This window comes from Homo sapiens, chromosome 17, assembly GCF_000001405.40.
Source record: "Homo sapiens chromosome 17, GRCh38.p14 Primary Assembly".
Taxonomy (NCBI): domain Eukaryota; kingdom Metazoa; phylum Chordata; class Mammalia; order Primates; family Hominidae; genus Homo; species Homo sapiens.
This window is the reverse complement of record NC_000017.11, coordinates 7,912,762-7,932,012: the sequence shown is the minus strand read 5'-3', so window position 1 is coordinate 7,932,012 and position 19,251 is coordinate 7,912,762. Positions and strand designations below refer to the sequence as shown.

At 51.8% G+C, this 19,251-nt stretch overlaps 3 protein-coding genes across 15 annotated transcripts, besides 3 other annotated features; all 3 read left to right on the top strand.

Annotated features, from left to right (window-relative positions):
- TRAPPC1 (trafficking protein particle complex subunit 1) lies at positions 14–1,668 on the top strand. 4 transcript variants are annotated; one of them, NM_001166621.1, is made up of 5 exons: positions 14–73; positions 184–282; positions 437–507; positions 864–1,002; positions 1,279–1,668. In NM_001166621.1, the coding sequence occupies exons 2-5, from the start codon at positions 184–186 to the stop codon at positions 1,405–1,407; spliced, it is 438 nt and encodes a 145-aa protein (NP_001160093.1). In that variant the 5' UTR covers positions 14–73; the 3' UTR covers positions 1,408–1,668. The 4 variants fall into 4 exon arrangements, 2 of the variants coding, with proteins under 2 accessions (NP_001160093.1, NP_067033.1); NR_030697.1 differs by lacking the exon at positions 437–507; NM_021210.5 differs by having other exon boundaries at positions 67–282; positions 1,279–1,664.
- Positions 114–353: an enhancer, noted in NCBI's record as "active region_11654". NCBI's record gives its function as "activates an Ori minimal core promoter by ATAC-STARR-seq in GM12878 lymphoblastoid cells {active_cell/tissue: GM12878}" and the evidence as "EXISTENCE:reporter gene assay evidence [ECO:0000049][PMID:35858748]".
- KCNAB3 (potassium voltage-gated channel subfamily A regulatory beta subunit 3) lies at positions 2,157–10,154 on the top strand. Of its 9 annotated transcripts, none has more exons than NM_004732.4 (14): positions 2,157–2,819; positions 4,187–4,230; positions 4,319–4,356; positions 4,590–4,669; positions 5,910–5,954; positions 6,038–6,082; positions 6,287–6,330; positions 6,830–6,916; positions 7,513–7,598; positions 7,748–7,868; positions 7,951–8,045; positions 8,182–8,302; positions 8,469–8,557; positions 8,834–10,154. In NM_004732.4, the coding sequence occupies exons 1-14, from the start codon at positions 2,578–2,580 to the stop codon at positions 8,909–8,911; spliced, it is 1,215 nt and encodes a 404-aa protein (NP_004723.2). In that variant the 5' UTR covers positions 2,157–2,577; the 3' UTR covers positions 8,912–10,154. The 9 variants fall into 9 exon arrangements, 8 of the variants coding, with proteins under 8 accessions (NP_004723.2, XP_047293001.1, XP_047293005.1 ...); XM_047437045.1 differs by having other exon boundaries at positions 8,382–8,557; XM_047437049.1 differs by having other exon boundaries at positions 2,157–2,916.
- RNF227 (ring finger protein 227) lies at positions 15,695–18,689 on the top strand. Of its 2 annotated transcripts, none has more exons than NR_152444.1 (2): positions 15,695–15,829; positions 16,436–18,689. NR_152444.1 is itself a non-coding variant. In NM_001358699.2 (2 exons), the coding sequence occupies exons 1-2, from the start codon at positions 15,818–15,820 to the stop codon at positions 16,489–16,491; spliced, it is 573 nt and encodes a 190-aa protein (NP_001345628.1). In that variant the 5' UTR covers positions 15,724–15,817; the 3' UTR covers positions 16,492–18,674. The 2 variants fall into 2 exon arrangements, 1 of the variants encoding a protein (NP_001345628.1); NM_001358699.2 differs by having other exon boundaries at positions 15,724–16,334; positions 16,436–18,674.
- Positions 15,785–16,094: a silencer, noted in NCBI's record as "silent region_8148". NCBI's record gives its function as "represses an Ori minimal core promoter by ATAC-STARR-seq in GM12878 lymphoblastoid cells {active_cell/tissue: GM12878}" and the evidence as "EXISTENCE:reporter gene assay evidence [ECO:0000049][PMID:35858748]".
- Positions 16,073–17,006: an enhancer, noted in NCBI's record as "H3K27ac-H3K4me1 hESC enhancer chr17:7818325-7819258 (GRCh37/hg19 assembly coordinates)". NCBI's record gives its function as "activates a minimal SCP1, AML or CMV promoter by ChIP-STARR-seq in primed H9 embryonic stem cells {active_cell/tissue: H9 hESC(primed)}" and the evidence as "EXISTENCE:reporter gene assay evidence [ECO:0000049][PMID:30033119]".
- Positions 18,690–19,251: the final 562 nt, after the last annotated feature.

The following is a 19,251-nucleotide window of genomic DNA, read 5'->3' as shown; positions in this document are numbered from 1 at the left end:
CGAGAACCCCCCTAAGGGGCGGAGCTCCGTGGAAACCGGAAGTAACTCTTGACGGGCACTCGGAGCAGTTCCGGTGAGTCCGTGGGTGGGGTCCCCACCTGGTTGGAAGGCTGTGGGTCCGGGAACCCGAGCCCAAGGAGTGGGGGCGGCCCCGGAGCGAGGCTCACACTCCCTGCCCTGCAGATGACTGTCCACAACCTGTACCTGTTTGACCGGAATGGAGTGTGTCTGCACTACAGCGAATGGCACCGCAAGAAGCAAGCAGGGATTCCCAAGGAGGAGGTGACGAGAGGGCCCCGGTGCAGCCCGGGCGACCTCTCATCTCCAAACACCTATAGTCCCAACCCAGCCCCTCCTCTCCAAACCCCAGCTCGTTCCCACCCCCCACCCCATCTCCCGCATCAACCGAGAGCTAACTCTGCCCCTCTCCCTCCAGGAGTATAAGCTGATGTACGGGATGCTCTTCTCTATCCGCTCGTTTGTCAGCAAGATGTCCCCGCTAGACATGTACGCGGAGTCAGAGAAGATGTTGGGAGGAGGGCTAGCCTTGGGAATTTGGGGATGGGGGAAACTTTCTGAAGTGGAAGGAGCATTGGCCTCCAGAGGGGGGAAAGGGTACTTAAGAGAGGCTGAGTCCGGAGCGAGAGTGCTGGAGCTGGCAGGAGTGGGGGTGGGGAGGGTCTGAAAGTAGAGAAGTTGGTGGGGGCTAAATTGAGGGGTGACGATGGGCGATGTCTTTACTCAACCAGGCTTCTACAAAGGATATGTTTAGATAAAGAGGGAGTCGATGTTTGCGGGGATCAGAAGTGTCTCTTTGGGAGAGATTCTGCTCCCATTCTTTAACACCCTCCTCATCTCTGCAGGAAGGATGGCTTCCTGGCCTTCCAAACTAGCCGTTACAAACTCCATTACTACGAGACGCCCACTGGGATCAAAGTTGTCATGAATACTGACTTGGGCGTGGGACCCATCCGAGATGTGCTGCACCACATCTACAGTGCGGTCAGTGCCAGCCCCAGGGACCCATCCCCCAGAGCTCTTCAGAACCCCAAGACTCCCTCATCTCCCCTGCCCCAATCCTACTATATGTTTGCTCAACTCAAGAGTTTTCTCAGGGGCCCTTAGGTTCTTAACTCCCACCACCACTTTCTCCTCAGAGAGGGCTTGCCTTCCAGCCCTTATTCCTTGTGCATTCACACACCCCTGAGGTTATACAAGGTTTGGGGCTAAAAACCAGAAGTATCCAAAGCCTGGCTCTAACATCTTCCCTTTCCATAGCTGTATGTGGAGCTGGTGGTGAAGAATCCCCTGTGCCCGCTGGGCCAAACTGTGCAAAGTGAGCTCTTTCGCTCCCGACTGGACTCCTATGTTCGCTCTCTGCCCTTCTTCTCCGCCCGGGCTGGCTGAAGCAACCTACCTCAAGTCTCAGGAGAATTCATGTCTGCCTGGGGCCCTTCCGAACCTGTGCCAACTAAGGGCCCCCACTGTAAGCCCCCGCACCCCCACCCCCTGCCCAGAGCAACAGCCTAAAGGCCTGCCCTGATGCTCTCCTCCTACCAGAGTGAAGCCCACAGAGTCCCTCCACCTCCACACCAGGCCCTCTCTCCAGTTTTATCCCCTGCCTAATGCTGCGAGAAGCACAGAATAAACTTTTTGTCACTCTCTGCGGCCTGAGCGTGTTGGTTTGAGGGCCCTCTCAGTCCTGCCCCACGCATGAAGGTGGAAAGTAGGGCAGCCACACCCCCTGGAGGGCCACGAAGTGGCTTTGCGGATGGGTTTCTCAACCGTGGGAATATTGATGCTTTGAGCTGGATAATTCTTTATTGTGGGGACCGTCCTGTGCTTTGTAGGATTTTAGCATCCCTGGCCACCACCCACTAGATGCTGATAGCACAGGCATGAAATCAAAAATATCTCCAAACCTTGCCGAAAGTACGCTGGGAGATACATTCCCTCCCGATTGAGAATCACTGGGCCGGGGGAAGCCTGACAGCCCTTGGGTCCCAGAGGGTGCAGGAGCCATCCTCCCCAATTCCGCTCAGAAAATATTCAAGCTGCAGAGCCTTCAGCAGGCGGGGCTTATGCAGATGAGCGGCAGGTTTGGCTGAGAGGAGGGCGGCTCTATGCAGATGAGGAGGCGGTGCCTGCATGCTGATGAGCTGGGCCCGCTGCCGACGCGGCTGGGAGCCCAGCGGGTCCCGCAGCGGTTCGCGCTGAAGTGGCATCTCTCTCCCGCCCCGCTTCCCCCTGGGTCCTTATCCTCCGAGACCTTTACCTCATCCTCGACCTTTACCCTCATCCATTTCCCCCTCCTAATCCTTGCTCCTGTGTCCCCCGTAACTGAATATCTCCACTCCTGGCGCCCCCCACGTTTCTTCCCTCCCGCCGCAAACCTCGCGACCTCCAGCAGCCCGCCCCCGCGGGCCCGATCCTGCCTGGCGGCTCCCGCCGCAGCCTCCTCAGCCTTCCCGCTCTGCCGGGGTTCGCCCCACTACGCCCCCGGTCGTCAGCCCTCGGGCTTCCCTGCTCCCCCCTCCCGTCCCCTCGGAGCCCCCTCCCCCGCCTCGGCCAGCCAGCATGCAGGTGTCTATCGCGTGTACCGAGCAGAACCTTCGCAGCCGGAGCAGTGAGGACCGTCTGTGTGGACCCCGGCCGGGCCCCGGGGGCGGTAATGGTGGGCCGGCCGGCGGGGGGCACGGGAATCCTCCGGGGGGTGGAGGGTCTGGCCCCAAGGCCCGAGCTGCACTGGTTCCCCGACCCCCAGCGCCCGCTGGGGCCCTCCGAGAGAGCACCGGCCGAGGCACTGGCATGAAATACAGGTATGGGGGTGGCCGGGCAGCCCACCCCTTCCGCTTTCCTTTCGGGACCCCTGAGACTGCTTGAGATGGCCGCCAAGACCCCTTCAAACTTCACTAAGTAGGTCTCCCTTCTTTCCATCTCTTCTTTCTGTCTCTGGCACTCCCTCACTTTGTCCCTCTCTTGGTTTCTGTCGATACCCCTGACTACGAGAATCAAGTTTACCAAGGTTGACTGGGTCCTGTCAGACCCAGGGGATGCCCCTGAGCTTCCCTCCTTACCCCTGGGAAGGTCAGGGATGCATGGATCTCCACGCTACACGGATCTCCAGGCTATGCCTCCTCCAGTGGAGTGTCCTTGGGTCCGTGTCCTGGGGAGTGGAGGGAGGGAATCAGCTTCTCACTCTGGCCTGCTCGGGGTGCCTGACCCAGATACTGCCCCTGCCTGCCCCAAAGGCTAGGTCTTCTGCGACCTTTCTTGGGTGCAAGGGGAGTGGGGCCGGTGGGAAGGATGGACCACATTTTTCATCTCCATGCTGAGGGACAGGGTCTGGGTAGACTGAAATGTAACTGACTTTATCTCAGAGGACTGCCAGACCAGAAGCTCAGAACCTGAAGTAGGGGGTAGAGGAGGGGCTCCTGCTTGGGAGTGAGCTGAGGTCACTGATCTGACCTGCTTTGTCACCTGAGGAATCTGATCCCCTCTATATGGTGGCCCTGATTGGAAAGCTGAGCTGACACCTGGGTTGGGGGCTTTGGGAGGATGAGGGGGCTCACTGGTTCAGAGACAGTCTTCACAAGTCAATAGGAACAGAGGGAGTGGAGAGGGAGAACTAGGCTTTTCTGTCTTACTCTCCCCCCTCCCCCCAGGTCCTCAATCTGCCTTTCCTCCAGGCCCATCTGCCTAGCCTAGCCAGGGACCCCTGTCTGTCTGAATGCCTGAACTTGACTTGGTTTACCTCTTCCAACCTGCCATCTACCATTTGGCACAGCACTCTGCCTGAGGGCCTGGTCTCACAAACTCACCACAATCAAACAAAATTCCTCCCAGCCCCTCACTGCACACAACCCACAGATGACTCAAACACAGACAAGACCCCAGAAGAAGGACAAACCAGACTGCACGTCTTCAATGTGATAAGAGGGAATGGAGACTCTGGACAGTGGCTCCAGAGGAACAGTCACATATGGTTCACTTGTCCTTTTGAGAAAATTCCTAGGACCTCTGCTCTGGAGATAGCACTTGCCCAATCTTATAGGCCCACTGGGTCTAATTTCTTTGGACTGAGACACCTGAGGGCTTCTCAGTCTGGAAGGAGAGGAGCTGGGGGCTGATAATCTAAGTCCATAATGGAGGCTCCACCCCTTCCCGCTGCTTCTGTATCTTGCAGGAACCTAGGGAAGTCTGGTCTTCGGGTATCCTGTCTTGGCCTAGGTGAGTCAGAATAGGGATTAAGGAAAGGAGGGCATTCTTTCATGGTCTGCCCCCTGCAGTTCTCATGTGCCTGGCTTCTCTCTTGCAGGTACCTGGGTCACATTTGGTTCTCAGATCTCAGATGAGGTATAAGTTATCGGACCTAGAATCAGGGTGGTGGGGGTGAGGGAACTTGAAAAAAGGGAAGTGAACCTGGATAGGGGTTTGGACAACAAGCACAGGGAATGAGGGATCTGAGGCTGGAGGATGGGGAGAGGGGAGAGACTAGAGAACCCAGGGCTGAGATGTGATGGGTTAGAGTACAGTGAGGGAGGTAACTGAGGAGCAGTAGTTGATCTTTACCTCTTTCACCTCCCTAGACAGCAGAGGATGTGCTGACTGTAGCCTATGAGCATGGTGTAAACCTGTTTGACACCGCCGAAGTGTACGCAGCAGGAAAGTAAGGACTGGGGTGAAAGAGCTAAGCTCCATTTGGAAGGCTGAGAGGACCCCAGGGATTATCTTCTCGTTTTCCCTCTAAAGAACCCTGGGACTTCTGAGAACGTGAAGTTCCAACCTTTTGGCGGAGGGACCCGAAAGCACTGTAGGAGCTACAGTCCCAACATTAGTCCCTCTCTGGCTTAGAAGTCAATGGGCGTACTGTGCAGCTACATTAAATAAAGGCAACAAATATATCTGAGGCATTAGTTATGTGCAACTACAAAGATGAATTTTCAAACACATCATGCCGTTTCACACTAGGAGCAGGGAAAACCTAGGATGACCTACCCTGCCTCTTCCCCATCTAGCAAACACTTCTGCTCATCTTCAAGACTTGACCCGAGTGTCCGCTCCTTCAAGAACTTTGCCCAACTCCCCAGAGTTGGTCACCCCCTCCCCCACCATGAGCTCCTAAAGCACTGTGGACTGCCTTCTGACACGCAATTCGTGGTTTATGCAGCTATATTAGCTGCTCAAGTCAGAGGCCTCCTTCCATGGAACTTGTCTTGCTCTTCCCCAAGTACCCACACAGAGCCTGGCACAGAGCAGGTGCTGCTTCTGGGAAGAATCAACATGTCTGCGAAAGTGCACACAGTCTAAGTGGTTAAAGGAAAAAAAAAGGGCAATAGGAAAGATTAAACAACGGTAAAACATTTCAGTAACAGTCCACCATGACAACTTAAGACTTGTCATAAGTGAGCTCATAATTTTATGCTAAATTATGTAGCCAATTCTGTGGAAGCTGACCAGAAGGCTGGACCATAGATTGTGGCACTCAGAGAACACATTATGGATGAGGCAGAATTTGAGCTGAGCTTTGGAGGACGGGTGGGATTTTGCAGAGGCTCAAAGAAGGAGGAGGGCAACCCAGATAGTTGAAGCCAGACAAGGCAGTGTCCTTCCTGGCTCCACCATAGTTGGCCCCTCTCCCCTCATCCTATTCTATCTTTTTGGCACCCACAGCAGGGCTTGGTACACAGCTAATGCACAACAGATATTTGTTGAATATGTGATGAAAACTATACAACTACACCCCTAGTTCCTTCCAACAGACCTCTTATTTTGTCCAGGATGGGGCTGTGAGCTGAAATGGACTCCTGGTTTATATCCTACTTTGCAAGAGAGGAAAAGGTGGGGAGGAGAGGAAGGAATTGATTGGCCTAGAAGGGATCAGTGGCTCTGCCTTATGTTTCTTTTAGGGCTGAAAGAACCCTAGGGAACATCCTCAAGAGCAAAGGTTGGAGGTGAGACTGTTTTGGGGGGTTGCTGGGGATGTGATCACCCAAAAATCCTTTTCTTACTGGTTCTCCCATTTCTATTCTTCCAGGAGATCAAGCTATGTCATCACTACCAAGATTTTTTGGGGAGGACAGTAAGTGGCTGCCCCACTGCGATTGTGGAGAAGGCCTACAAAGAATGTGTGAAGGTGTATGGGGTGGGGGTGGGGACAGCTATCCTGCACCAGGTCCGCACCATGCCTGTGAAGACTCGTGCAATCCCATTTCCTTATGGCTCCAAGCCAGCCCCGGTCCCCTATCTTTGTCACATCTCATCTTTGACTTACCTTTTCCTACAGGGCAGAAACCGAGCGAGGTTTAAGCCGAAAGCACATCATTGAGGGTGAGAGTTAGGGGCTGGAAACCCAAAGTGAGGGGATATGGAAGCCAGAGGAGTAGGGAACATTCTCTGAACTTCTGGAGGCTTTGAATAGGGATTTAGGTGGCCATGGCAAGGGGGCAAGGTCTGAATTCTTTTTTTTTTTTTTTTTTTTTTGAGACGGAGTTTCACTCTTGTTGTCCAGGCTGGAGTGTAATGGCACGATCTCGGCTCACTGCAACCTCCTCCTCCCGGGTTCAAGGGATTCTCCTACCTCAGCGTCTCGAGTAACTGGGATTACAGGCACACGCCACCACGCCTGGCTAATTTTTTGTATTTTTAGTAGAAATGGGGTTTCACCACGTTAGCCAGGCTGGTCTCAAACTCCTGACCTCAGGTGATCCGCCCACCTCGGCCTCCCAAAGTGCTGGGATTACAGGCATGAGCCACCACGCCTGGTGGCCTGCATTCTTAGTACACTGAAGCTGAGGTGCTTATTTTCTTCTCCCTACCCCACCTCCAGGCTTGCGAGGATCCCTGGAACGCCTCCAGCTGGGATACGTGGACATTGTCTTTGCCAATCGCTCAGACCCCAACTGTCCTATGGAGGGTAAAAGCAGCACCCCCAAACCTTACAGTCCTTCAAAACTGAGCACTTCCTTGCTGGGTGCGGTGGCTCATTCCTGTAATCCCAGGACGTTGGGAGGCCAAGGCAGGAGGATCACTTGGGGCCTGGAGTTCGAGAACAGTCTGGGCAACATAGCAAGACCCTGTCTCTACAAAAAATGTTTTAAAATTAGCTGGCTGTGGTGGTGTGTGCCTTGTACTCCCAGCTGTTCAGGAGGCTGAGGCAGGAGGATCATTCAAGCCCAGGAGTTTGAGGCCACAGTGAGCTATGATTGCACCACTGAACTACATCCTGAGTGACAGAGTGAGACCCTGTCTCAAAAAATCTAAAATACAAAAATTGAGCACTTCCTCAAACCCTCAGCAGGAAGCCAGCCCCTGCTCAGAAGGCCTCCAAAACTCCACAGTGGAGGCTGAGACTCCAGGATGTGGACAGGAAGAGAGGCAAAGAGTAGATATTAACTTTCATGACTCCATAGAGTTGCCTGGGGCCTTGGTGGGGCAGGTGGAGGTCTGCAAATCTGGAGTCTTAGATTCCAGGGCTCTGACAGTAAGGCTTTCCCTCTCCTGTGTACCTAGAGATTGTGCGAGCCATGACCTATGTCATCAACCAGGGCCTGGCCCTATACTGGGGGACATCCCGATGGGGGGCTGCAGAAATCATGGTGAGTGTGTGACCCCACCTTGCCCCTGTCCCACAACTGGTTCCCACTTTTCACGTGGTTACTCCAAAGCCCACTGCACTGGGGGAGAAGGCAGAGAAGAAAACGGAAGTAGTGCTCTGACCACTTTCTTTTCCCCAACCCCAACCCAGGAGGCCTACTCCATGGCCAGACAGTTCAATCTGATTCCTCCAGTGTGTGAACAAGCGGAGCACCATCTGTTTCAGAGGGAGAAGGTGGAGATGCAGCTGCCAGAGCTCTACCACAAGATTGGTTTGCAGCCCTCATCCCTGCCTTTACCTTAGCCTCATCCATGGCTAGGTCCTTTTCCTGACACCCAGTGTTCTTCCCTTAGGAGTTGGATCAGTCACTTGGTACCCTCTAGCCTGTGGTCTCATTACTAGCAAGTATGATGGGCGAGTCCCAGATACTTGCAGGGCCTCCATCAAGGTGAGATCTGGGGGCTCTCGATGGCAGGACTGGGCTATATGGGCTGCTTTGGGGGGAGTTACGGGGGGCTGCTTTGTGAGTGTGGTGGTGGTGGTGGTGATGGCGGGGTCTTCTGTTGATTCTTCTTGGCCTCCAGGGCTACCAGTGGCTCAAGGACAAAGTGCAGAGTGAAGATGGCAAGAAGCAACAAGCCAAAGTCATGGACCTTCTTCCTGTCGCTCACCAGCTGGGCTGCACCGTGGCCCAGCTTGCTATTGGTGAGACATTGCACCCTGCAGGGGCCCTGTCTCCTCCTGACATGCTCCCAAGCCCATCCTAAAACTGGTTTGTCCCTAGGGAGGACGCTTGTCTTCAGAGACACTTCTGAAATCTATGTGGTCACTGTTCCCCATCAGTCCTCTTTTTTTCCTCCTCTGGCCCCAGCGTGGTGTCTCCGCAGTGAGGGTGTCAGCTCTGTCTTGCTGGGGGTGTCGAGTGCGGAGCAGTTGATAGAACACCTGGGCGCGCTACAGGTGAGCCGGGGACTCAGAGGCAGAGCCTATCTGTCCCCCTCCCCAGGAGTCAAAGCCACGCTATCCAACCCAGGATGGCTCTATCAGGTCACCCACTACAAAGTCCTCACTTTGCAGGTGAGAGGTCCCAGGGCCGGAAAGCGAGGCACCGGCACAGCTGCGGCTCTTGCCTTGCCACTTGACCCCACTGTGGTGCTTCCCCGGCTACTGGAACCCCATGCCCTTTCTCAGTGACCCAGCATGGGCTGCCGTCGCCACCGTCCCACTCTCCTCCAGGTGCTGAGCCAGCTGACCCCGCAGACAGTGATGGAAATAGACGGGCTCCTGGGAAACAAGCCGCATTCCAAGAAGTAGTCTGTCGCGGGCGCAGGGACCCAACCCGGTGTCGCTGCACCCGCCCGAGCCCCGCTCCTCGCAGCCGCCTCTCCCGCTCCGGATCCCTCCACGCAGCGGCCGGAGCCAGACTAGCCCCGCCCACCAACGAGTCCCGGCTTCGAGTAGTGATACGCATGAACAAAGCCATATCCTTTTGCAGTGGGGTCGAGAGAGAAAGTAGCACGCCCGCCCCCTGCTGCGTCTTTCTAGGCCCTTCTTGCAAATCCCGGGCATGAGCTACTCGCCGTCGGCTCTCTGCCACTTCGTCTCGCTCCCTACTCTCCTCCCCTTATTCCCGAGGCCCAGAAAAGAAAACAAAAACAAAAACCCAGCACATACAAGAAACATACAGTGTACCTCAAAAGGGGCCCTTGAAATGTCATCAAAGGGTAATAACCTAGTGAGTGAGTTGTGATGTCATCTGGAACATAGGAAATGGGGCTCTTAGCGTATTCGGTACGAAGGAAGCCAGGCTGGTCCTGGCAGGAAGTAAATGATAATCTTTGGGAAACCAGGACCCTGCCTCCCAGCCCAGAGGTGGAGGAGGGCGGTCAGGGTGGGGTCTACAGTGGCACAGCACTGACAAAGGTAGAGGGAAATGTAATAGCACATCTACGCTGCAGTCTGGTGAAAGTGGCCGGGGTGGTCCTTGGAAAACAGTTGGGCTGTTCTTGGCAGGAATTAGTGACAGCCTTTCCGTCACGGGCAGGGACGCCTTGATTTAAAAAAAATAAATAAATAAAACGTCTGGGTATAGACTTTTGAGCCTTGAGCAGGGCCTCCTACCTGGCAGTGGGGAACTGCAGTCTTCCTCCTGGCAATAAACCTAAAGCAATAATGATGGCCCCTTCTCTGTAAGACTTCCCAGGTAACTGTAAATAAACCTCAGCTTGATCCTCACAGTGTCTAAAGTTGCAGGGGCTTGGGAGGTTAGGGTCACAGTCTCACTTGTCTGGCCCTCTCGCCCCCTAACATTAGAAATCTGCTAGCATTAGCTTTCTCTCCATTGCTCATTCACCTTGGTGACCCAGGCATCGGGCTCCTAGTCACTGTTCTCATCAAGGACCAAGACACCAGATACCCCAGGCCCCAGTTTTCTTCCTTCAGCTACCACATTCCTTAGAACCCAGAAATCTGGCTTCATAATTTTGTTCCTCCTCTTTCTATGAAAGACTTAGCTATCTGCCTTTATTTGTTTGTATTTAAAGTAATATTAGCCATACTTGTTCCTTGTACTTCTCATTTCTCTCTCGCTGGACACCCACACATATGCCAAGGAACCTGTGGCTGAGGGGGAGATGCTGTTCTGAGGTTGAGGCTTTGTGATTTGGTGGAGAGGTAAAGTGAAGAATGGTCTGAGGTTGAGGGAATACAGAGAGAAGGAAAGATGTTATCATTTCACTGGAACAGAATTGGGTGGAAAGTTACAACCTTAAAGATCACAAGGTAGAGGAGGATGAGCTCTGCCTTCCTTAAATACAACCTGCCCATCTCCCTTCTACCCGTCCTCATCCCGCCTTGATCCAAAAGCTGGGCAAGCAAAGTAAAACCAATTTCCAAAAGAGAAAAGTCAGCAGCATGCCATTTACTGGATTAGCAGCCAACTGCATCAACTAATTAATACTTAAATCCACCCCATCATCTCCCACTCATTTTGCAAGACTGTGGAGGAAACAAAGAAGTAAAATATATTACTAAACTATGATTAGTTATTCTGTAACATACGAGAATTTATCAATCCCAAATAGGATTCTCCTTAAATAGTTATCTTAGAGGGTTATACACTTATTTTAATGAACCTGTCCCATTGCTCAAAATATTAAAAACAAACAAACACCATTCCTCCTAGAATTACCTTCAGAGAGAGTTTGGAAACGCCTTGATTTAAAAAAAAAAAAACAAAAAAAAAAGCCTTCCTTTATTGTCACGCCTCCTTTGTATATGGACATTTGCCATATTTATCACCCACCTCATTCATTAATTTAGCAAGTATTTGTCTATTGAGTCCTATTATGGTATAGCACAGGGATACAAGGGTGAACAAAACCAGACTCAGAACCTTCATATATCTTGCTGAGGAGAGAGACAATCACAGAACCACCAAATAAATACAAACTTCTTGTCCAAAGTCCAGAGGAAAGCACATGGTATTACTGAGTCTGTAGTGGTTATTTGACATGGTGAGGTTACGCTGAGAGCTGAAGCATGAATAGGTGTTAATAAGGGTTAAGCAAGAGGGTTAAGAGCATATGCTAAGGCCTGTGGCAGAAAAGAACATACAAGCCAAAAGTACCCAAAGCCAGAGTGTCTAGAGAGGAACAGAACAGAAAGTGAGACATGGGTAATGGCTGGGTGCGGTGGCTCACGCCTGTAATCCCAGTACTTTGGGAGGCTGAGGCTGGTGGATCACTTGAGGTCAGGAGTTTGAGACCAGCCTGGCCAACATGGCGAAAACCTATCTCTACTAAAAATAAAAAATAAAAATAAAAATAAAAATTAGCCAGGCATGGTGACACCCACCTGTAGTCCCAGCTACTCAGAAGGCTGAGGCAGGAGAATCACTTGAGCCCAGGAGGCAGAGGTTGCAATGAGCTGAGATTGCACCACTGCATTCCAGCCTGGGCGACGGAGCAAGACTCTGTCTGGAAGGAAGGAAGGAAGGAAGGGGTAAGTTCAGAACACACAGGGACTTACAGGGCACATTACAATGTTATATTTATCTAGGCTGGGCGCAGTGGCTCACACCTGTAATCCAAGCACTTTGGGAGGCCAAGGCAGGTGGGATCACTTGAGCCCAGGGGTTCAAGACCAGCCTGGACAACATGGGGAGACCCCATCTCTACAAAAATACAAGAATTAGCTGAGCATGGTAGCTCATACCTGTGTAGTCCCAGCTACTCGGAGCCTGAGGTAGGTAGGTGGCTTGAGTCTGGGAGATCAAGGCTGTAGTGAGCCAAGATTATGCCACTACACTCCAGCCTGATGCTCAGAGCAAGCTCCTGTCTCAAAAAATATATTTATCATACAGGGAAAAAAAAACAGTAGGAAACCCTCTATATCCGTTATCTATTGATACACAACAAATCACCACCAAAGTTAATGGCCTGAGATAACTTTTTATTTATTTTTATTTTATTTTATTTGAGATGGAGTCTCGCTCTGTCACTCAGGCTGGAGTACAGTTGCATGATCTCAGCTCATTGCAACCTCCCTCTCCCGGGTTCAAGCGATTCTCCTGCCTCACCCTCCTGAGTAGCTGGGACTACAGGCGAGTGCCACCATGCTCAACTAATTTTTTGTATTTTTAGTAGAGACAGGGTTTCACCATCTTGGCCAGGCTGGTCTTGAACTCCTGGTGATCCACCTGCCTCGGCCTCCCAAAGTGCTGGGATTACAGGCGTGAGCCACCACACCCAGCCACTATTTATTTATTTATTTATTTATTTATTTATTTAGAGATGGAGTCTCGCTCTGTCGCCAGACTGGAGTGCAGTGGCGATCTTGGCTCACTGCAACCTCCGACTCCCTAGTTCAAGCGATTCTCCTGCCTCAGCCTCCCCAGTAGCTGGGATTACAGATACGTGCCACCACGCCCAGCTAATTTTTGTTTTTTTAGTAGAGACGGGATTTCACCTTGTTGTCCAGGAGGGTCTTGATCTCCTGATCTTGTGATCTGCCTGCCTCAGCCTCCCAAAGTGCTGGGATTACAGGCGTGAGCCACCGCGCCCAGCCACTTTTTATTTATTTTTAAGAGGCGGGGGTCTCGCTCTGTCACCCAGGCTGGAGTGCACTGACATGATCACGGCTCAGTGCAGCTTCGAAGTCCTGAGGCTCAAGTGATCCTCCCACCTCAGCCTACTGAGTAGCTGGGACGATGTGCACCACTGAGCCTGGCTTTTTTCTTTTTTTTTGTAATGATGGGGTCTCACCACGATTCCCAGGCTGATCTCAAATTCCCGAGCTCAAGTTATCCTTCCATCTTGGCCTCCCATAGTGCTAGGATTACAGGTGTGAGCCACCACACTCAGTAGAAATAACTTTTAAAAACTGTTCTTTTTCACGATTCTATGGGCTTGCTGGGAGTTCCTTTGCTGTTTTCACCTAGGCTCACTCACGTGGCTGCACTCAAATGGCAGGTGAGCCAAGCAGGAAAATGCAAAATGGCCTCACCAGCATGTCTGGTTGTTGGCTGGCGCTCCTCCGTGTGGCCTCATCCTCACATGGTGGTCTCAGGGAGTGTTCCAAGGGGACAAAAGCAGAAGCTACAAGGCCTCTGAAGGACTAGGTTCCAGAACTCACACATCACTTCTGCCACATCTATTGGTCAAAACTAGTTACAAGACCAGCCCAGATTCAAGGGATAGAGAAAGAGACCCCAATTCTTGATGTGAGATGCAGCAAAGTCACATTGCAAAGGAATTTGGGGCCACCATTAATCTACCACCACATTAAAAGCTTTTTTTTTTTTTTTTGAGATAGAGTCTCACCCTGTCGCCCAGGCTGCAGTACACTGGCACGATCTCAGCTCACTGCAATCTCTGTCTCCTGGGTTCAAGCAATTCTCCCACCTCAGCCTCCTGAGTAGCTGGGACTACAGGTGCACGCCGCCACGCCCAGCTAATTTTTTGTATTTTAGTAGAGACAGGGTTTCCCTGTGTTGCCCAGGCTGGTCGTGAACTCCTAAGCTTAGGCAATCTGCCCGTCTCTGCCTCCCAAAGTGCTGGGATTACAGGCGTAAGCCACCACACTCGGCCCATCATGTATTTATTAACAATAGATACCTACCAGTTCCCCCTTTTTTTTTTTTTTTTGAGACCGAGTCTCATTCTGTTGCTCAGTCTGGAGTGCAGTGGCGTGATCTCGGCTCACTGCAACCTCCACCTCCCAGGTTCAAGCAATTCTCGTGCCTCAGCCTCCCAAATAGCTGGGACTACAGGTGTGAGCCACCACCCCCGGCTAATTTTTGTATTTTTAGTAGAGATGGGGTTTCACCATTTGGCCAGGCTGGTCTTGAACTCCTGACCTCAAGTGATCCACCCACCTCGGCCTCCCAAAATGCTGGGATTACAGGCAAGAGCCACCATGCCTGGCCCTACCAGTCCTTTTTTAAGACCAAAAAGTTTTGAATTGTGACAGCATCACTGTAATAAGTAGACAGCTTCTCCCATGATCACAGACAATACCATTCAAAAGTTCTGAAATGTTTGCTTAAAAATGATGGTATACCTCCTCAAAAGAGATTACCCTCTAGGTTTTAACAATTTAGGTTTAAAAACCAGCTTTGCATTGCCTGTGATAGCTGGTAAATGCCATGGGTGTGGAGAAGCTCATCATGCACATATTGGTCAAGATGGATGGGTGTTGAAAATGTTGGGTACTGGCCGGGCGCGGTGGCTCACGCCTGTAATCCCAGCACTTTGAGAGGCCGAGGCGGGCGGATCACCAGGTCAGGAGATCGAGACCATCCTGGCTAACACATTGAAACCCCGTCTCTACTAAAAATACAAAAAATTAGCTGGGCGTGGTGGTGGGCGCCTGTAGTCCCAGCTACTCGGGAGGCTGAGGCAGGAGAATGGCATGAACCCGGGAGGCGGAGCTTGCAGTGAGCCGAGATGGTGCCACTGCACTCCAGCCTGGGCAACCCAGCAAGACTCCGTCTCAAAAAAAAAAAAAAAAGAAAAAAAAGAAAATGTTGGGTACTCAGAAGTTAATGTGAATTCAGTATAGGCTGGGGGCACAGGATAACAATAGTAGCTAATATAGTACTTACCTGGTGTTTTACTGTGTACTGGACACCATTTGAAGCACCTTACACATATAAGTTCATTCAGTCCTCATTATTATTATCCACATTTTTAAAACTAGGAAACCAAGGCCCAGAGAAATTAAGTAACTTGCTCAAAGTGTCACAACTAGTAAGAGGTGGAAGCTAGGATCTGAACTCAAGCCAGCTGGCTCTAGACTGTGTTATCACCCTCCATAACAGAACCTGGGCTGCAGGTCCAGGAGAGGAGGGTGAGGAGGCAGCTGTGTGTGGGTGTGGCACCATGAGGGGAATGTGGGTTGTGAGTACCATGTCCTGTTTACCAGTGGGAGAAGTCAGACCCCTGAGTCAGAACTTATGCTGGGGAGCTTTGCTGGGGCCATCACGATGTGTGGGTGTCCAGGCCTCCGGAAGGAAAGGATTCCCAGCATTCCTAAAGCCATGGTCCTGGCATCTAGGTCCCTCCTTAGGCTGAGATACCAGCTGAGAGTTAAGCAGTTTGGGGAGAATGAAGTTTAGGAAGCCAGCCTTACAAACAACACAGAGAGGTCATCTATAATGAGAATTGAGGGCAAAATCGATTCAAAGGCCCAGGGACCACTAAAGGTTGGGCAGAACGGGCCGTGTTTGGAAACTGGGTGGGATTGTGAAACTAACTGCGAGCAACTGAATAGGCGGAGGGGGCTTTAGAGACTTGTGCCAGTGACTGAGGGCTCAGGCGCAGAGAGAGACCCGGGGCTTTGTACATGGTAGAATTAAGGAGCGCTGGCGTTGCGTTGGGGGAAGAAGGAAAGCCCCACCCCGCTCCCCCGGGAGTAGGGAGGAATGGGTGCTTTGGCCCCCAGGGCTCCGGTCCTGGCATGGCCTGGGCCGCCTCCCCGACTCCATCATTGCTGTCATTCCCGGCCTCAAGCCTCCACCGCCCCCACACGTGCCGCCACAGGGAGCGGCCCGATCAAGGCGTGACGCTCCGAAGGGTGGGGCCTCACTTATTCCCCTATTTAAAGGGGAAAGAGGCCGCGGCGCCGGCCCCAGGACCCGACCCGGCCCCAGGAGAGTGTGCTCGTTCTGTTCACGGAGCTGGCCGCGTTAGCGACGTCCTCGAGTCCGCGGCGGGCACGATGCAGCTCTTGGTGAGGGTACCCTCTCTTCCGGAGCGGGGCGAGCTGGACTGCAACATCTGCTACCGTCCTTTCAACCTCGGGTGCCGCGCGCCCCGCCGCCTGCCCGGAACGGCGCGCGCCCGCTGCGGCCACACGATCTGCACCGCCTGCCTCCGCGAGCTGGCGGCGCGCGGGGACGGCGGCGGGGCGGCCGCGCGCGTGGTGCGCCTGCGCCGCGTGGTCACGTGCCCCTTCTGCCGCGCGCCCTCGCAGCTCCCTCGCGGCGGCCTCACGGAGATGGCTCTTGACTCGGACTTGTGGTCGCGATTGGAGGAAAAAGCGCGGGCCAAGTGCGAACGAGATGAGGCTGGGAACCCGGCCAAGGAAAGCAGCGACGCTGACGGAGAGGCGGAGGAAGAAGGGGAGAGCGAGAAGGGGGCGGGGCCTAGGAGTGCTGGGTGGCGCGCGCTCCGGCGGCTCTGGGACAGGGTCCTGGGGCCTGCGCGGCGCTGGCGGCGTCCGCTGCCTAGCAACGGTGAGGGGCTGCCCGGGGAGGATGCAGGGGAGAGAGCGCCGAGGAATACCGAGGTTCGTTGGCATGCTCCTGCTGCCACTAACCCTTCTTCTTTCCCCCAGTGCTCTACTGTGCGGAGATCAAGGACATTGGCCACCTGACCCGTTGCACGTTGTAACCGAGGAACTCGGAAGCTACAGCCGAAGGAAGGTGGGAGCTGCAGCCTCGCGGGGGCTGATGTCAAGACTACTCTCTCTCAGATCCCAGGATTGGCATGTGATGAGAGAGATGAGCCGAAGGCAGGAGGGAACGCCCTGGGAGGTGTTGATGCTGAGTTGGGGAGGCTCCTAGACGAACTCGCCCCCATCTACTGACTGTGCCAGTCTTACATTTTCAGGATGGAGTGGCCAAGGGATGATATAAACAAAGCCTACGTTACCGTGGGAAGAAGACAGACTGTTTTCTTAGCTGGGACGTTGGCTTTTGTCCAGGGTGGCTCTGGTGTGTGGGAGCAACAGGTCCCATTTTAGCAATTCTTTGTCAATGGTTTGAATTTTTTTTTTTTTTAAGATGGAACGGGAGAGAAGAGGCTAATTTTCGCGTCATGTTAATCTCACTTCTCTGGCATGTAAGGGTGCTGGTATGCCTGCTGTCTCCCCACTCCCAGTTCTGTGTTCCAGAAATTGAGATGGCTCCCTGCCTGTGACTATGATTAGGAGCCTTGCTTCATTTCAGAATCTCCCTTCAACCTGCTAGGGCAGGTATCAGAAATTCCAAAGGGCATTTATGTGAGGCACCTAATTAGAGCCTATCAAAGTAGGAAGGGAGAGCCATTTGAAAGGCATCATATTTCAAACTTTTGCTATTATCTGTGTTATCTTTACAGTCACGGGAACACACTAGCGCTACTGAAAAGATACTTATACAATTTTAAGTGTCTTTAAAATTTGTGTCCCATAATGGGACATCACCTGTTGTATATATGCCATGTATTCTATTTTAGAATCCTGTATCTTATGACCATAAAGTCATAGTCAAGGACCAGCAGTGTTGGTGTACTGTCAACGGAAGTGCACAGTCTCACTCTAGGATCCCACTCCAGACTTCCTGAATCAGACTCTGGCAGGGTTTTTTGTTTTTTTGTTTTTGTTTTGAGCCAGAGTCTCACTGTGTCGCCCAGGCTGGAGTGCAGTGGCGTGATCTCGGCTCACTGCAGCCTCCGCCTCCCAGGTTCAAGCGATTCTCCTGCCTCATCCTCCGGAGTAGCTGGGATTACAGGCGCCTGCCACCACACCTGGCTAATTTTTGTATTTTTAGTAGAGATGGGGTTTCGCCATGTTTGTCAGGCTGGTCTCAAAACTCCTGACCTCAGGTGATGGCGCCCACCTTGGCCTCCCAAAGTGCTGGGATTATAGGAGTGAGCCACCGCGCCGGGCCAGACTCTGGCATTTTAACAATCCCAGGTGATGTGTGTGCATGTGAAAATTTAAGTACCATTGGTCTAGATCCTACACTCTTTAGGATATCACCATCTGTAGGTAGAATATTTAAAGCATAATAGGTATGACTGATAGATTATTTTATCCAAAGTTCTTTTTTTTTTTTTTTGAGATGGAGTCTTGCTCTGTTGCCCAGACTGGAGTGCAGTGGCGTGATCTCGGCTCACTGCAAGCTCTGCCTCCTGGGTTCACGCCATTCTCCTGCCTCAGCCTCCCAAGTAGCTGGGGCTACAGGCACCCACCACCACGCCTGGCTAATTTTTTTGTATTTTTAGTAGAGATGGGGTTTCACCGTGTTAGCCAGGATGGTCTCGATCTCCTGACCTCATGATCCGCCTGCCTCGGCCTCCCAAAGTGCTAGGATTACAGGCGTGAGCCACCACGCCCGGCCCCAAAGTTCTAAAGTAACATTCTATTGCTAAAGAAATCCTAACCTACTATGTAACATTTTTCTCTTAGTTAAAAATGTGAACTTATTATTAACCTCAATTTTTTAGAGGCCTCCAATCTTTTTAAAATATAAATATTTTTGATTGACAAATCATAATTATACACTTATGGGGGTATAAACCTCAATTTTTGTAACCCTATTTTGGCATTTTCCTGTCCTTACATCTCAGCTTAAATGCTCCCTCTTTTGGGAGGCCTTTTTCTGCCTTCAACATAGTAGAGCCTTTTCCCCCACCCCTCTGTAACATAATGCCCTGTTTTATTTTTACTGCTTTTATTTTCATGCTTTGTGGGTGTCCCCACTGGAGTGTAAGCCCTATGGGAGCAAGGGCTGACCTGTGACTGTTTTATCTCCAGGGCCAACAGCAGTGTTACTGTATAGTATGTACTCAATAAATATTTGTTGGCTTTATCTCTTATTTTTTAATATAATAGCCTTGTGAACTAAGTGTCTGGCCTCTCTCAATCTCTCAGAGGCTCTGTTTAGTGAACAATAAACATCAAGGAAGTGCCTAGCAGTTCAAATCTTTGGTAAGCTAGACAGATCTGACCCTCAACGCCTTAAAAAAAAAAAAAAAAAAAGTGTGCCTTTGCTTCATACTGGAGCTGAACCTGTGGAGCTGTAGTGACCTCTACTGACTCTTAGGGGAACTAAGCAACTTGAAGGTGGAAAGGATGATCAAAAGGATGGCTGGAAGGCAGTTTTGAATCTTGATAGGCGCTCCTCCCACTACATTTCTGTCCAGTAAGTCCCACTCTCTCTGAAGTCAACCTGAGGCTACGTAGGTATCTGCTGCTCACCCTCCTTCTCTACAGAGGCCATGACATAGCTGGGGCTGGAAGAACCTCAGTTTTAGTGAATAATCTAAGAGATAAAAATGAGGAAAAGGAAAAAGTTGTAGGATTTTTTTAAAAAGAAAAGGCAGAAAGCAACAACCTTTCTTATCCCTCCCCCCAAAAACTCCCCCCCCCCATAAAAAATAACAGAG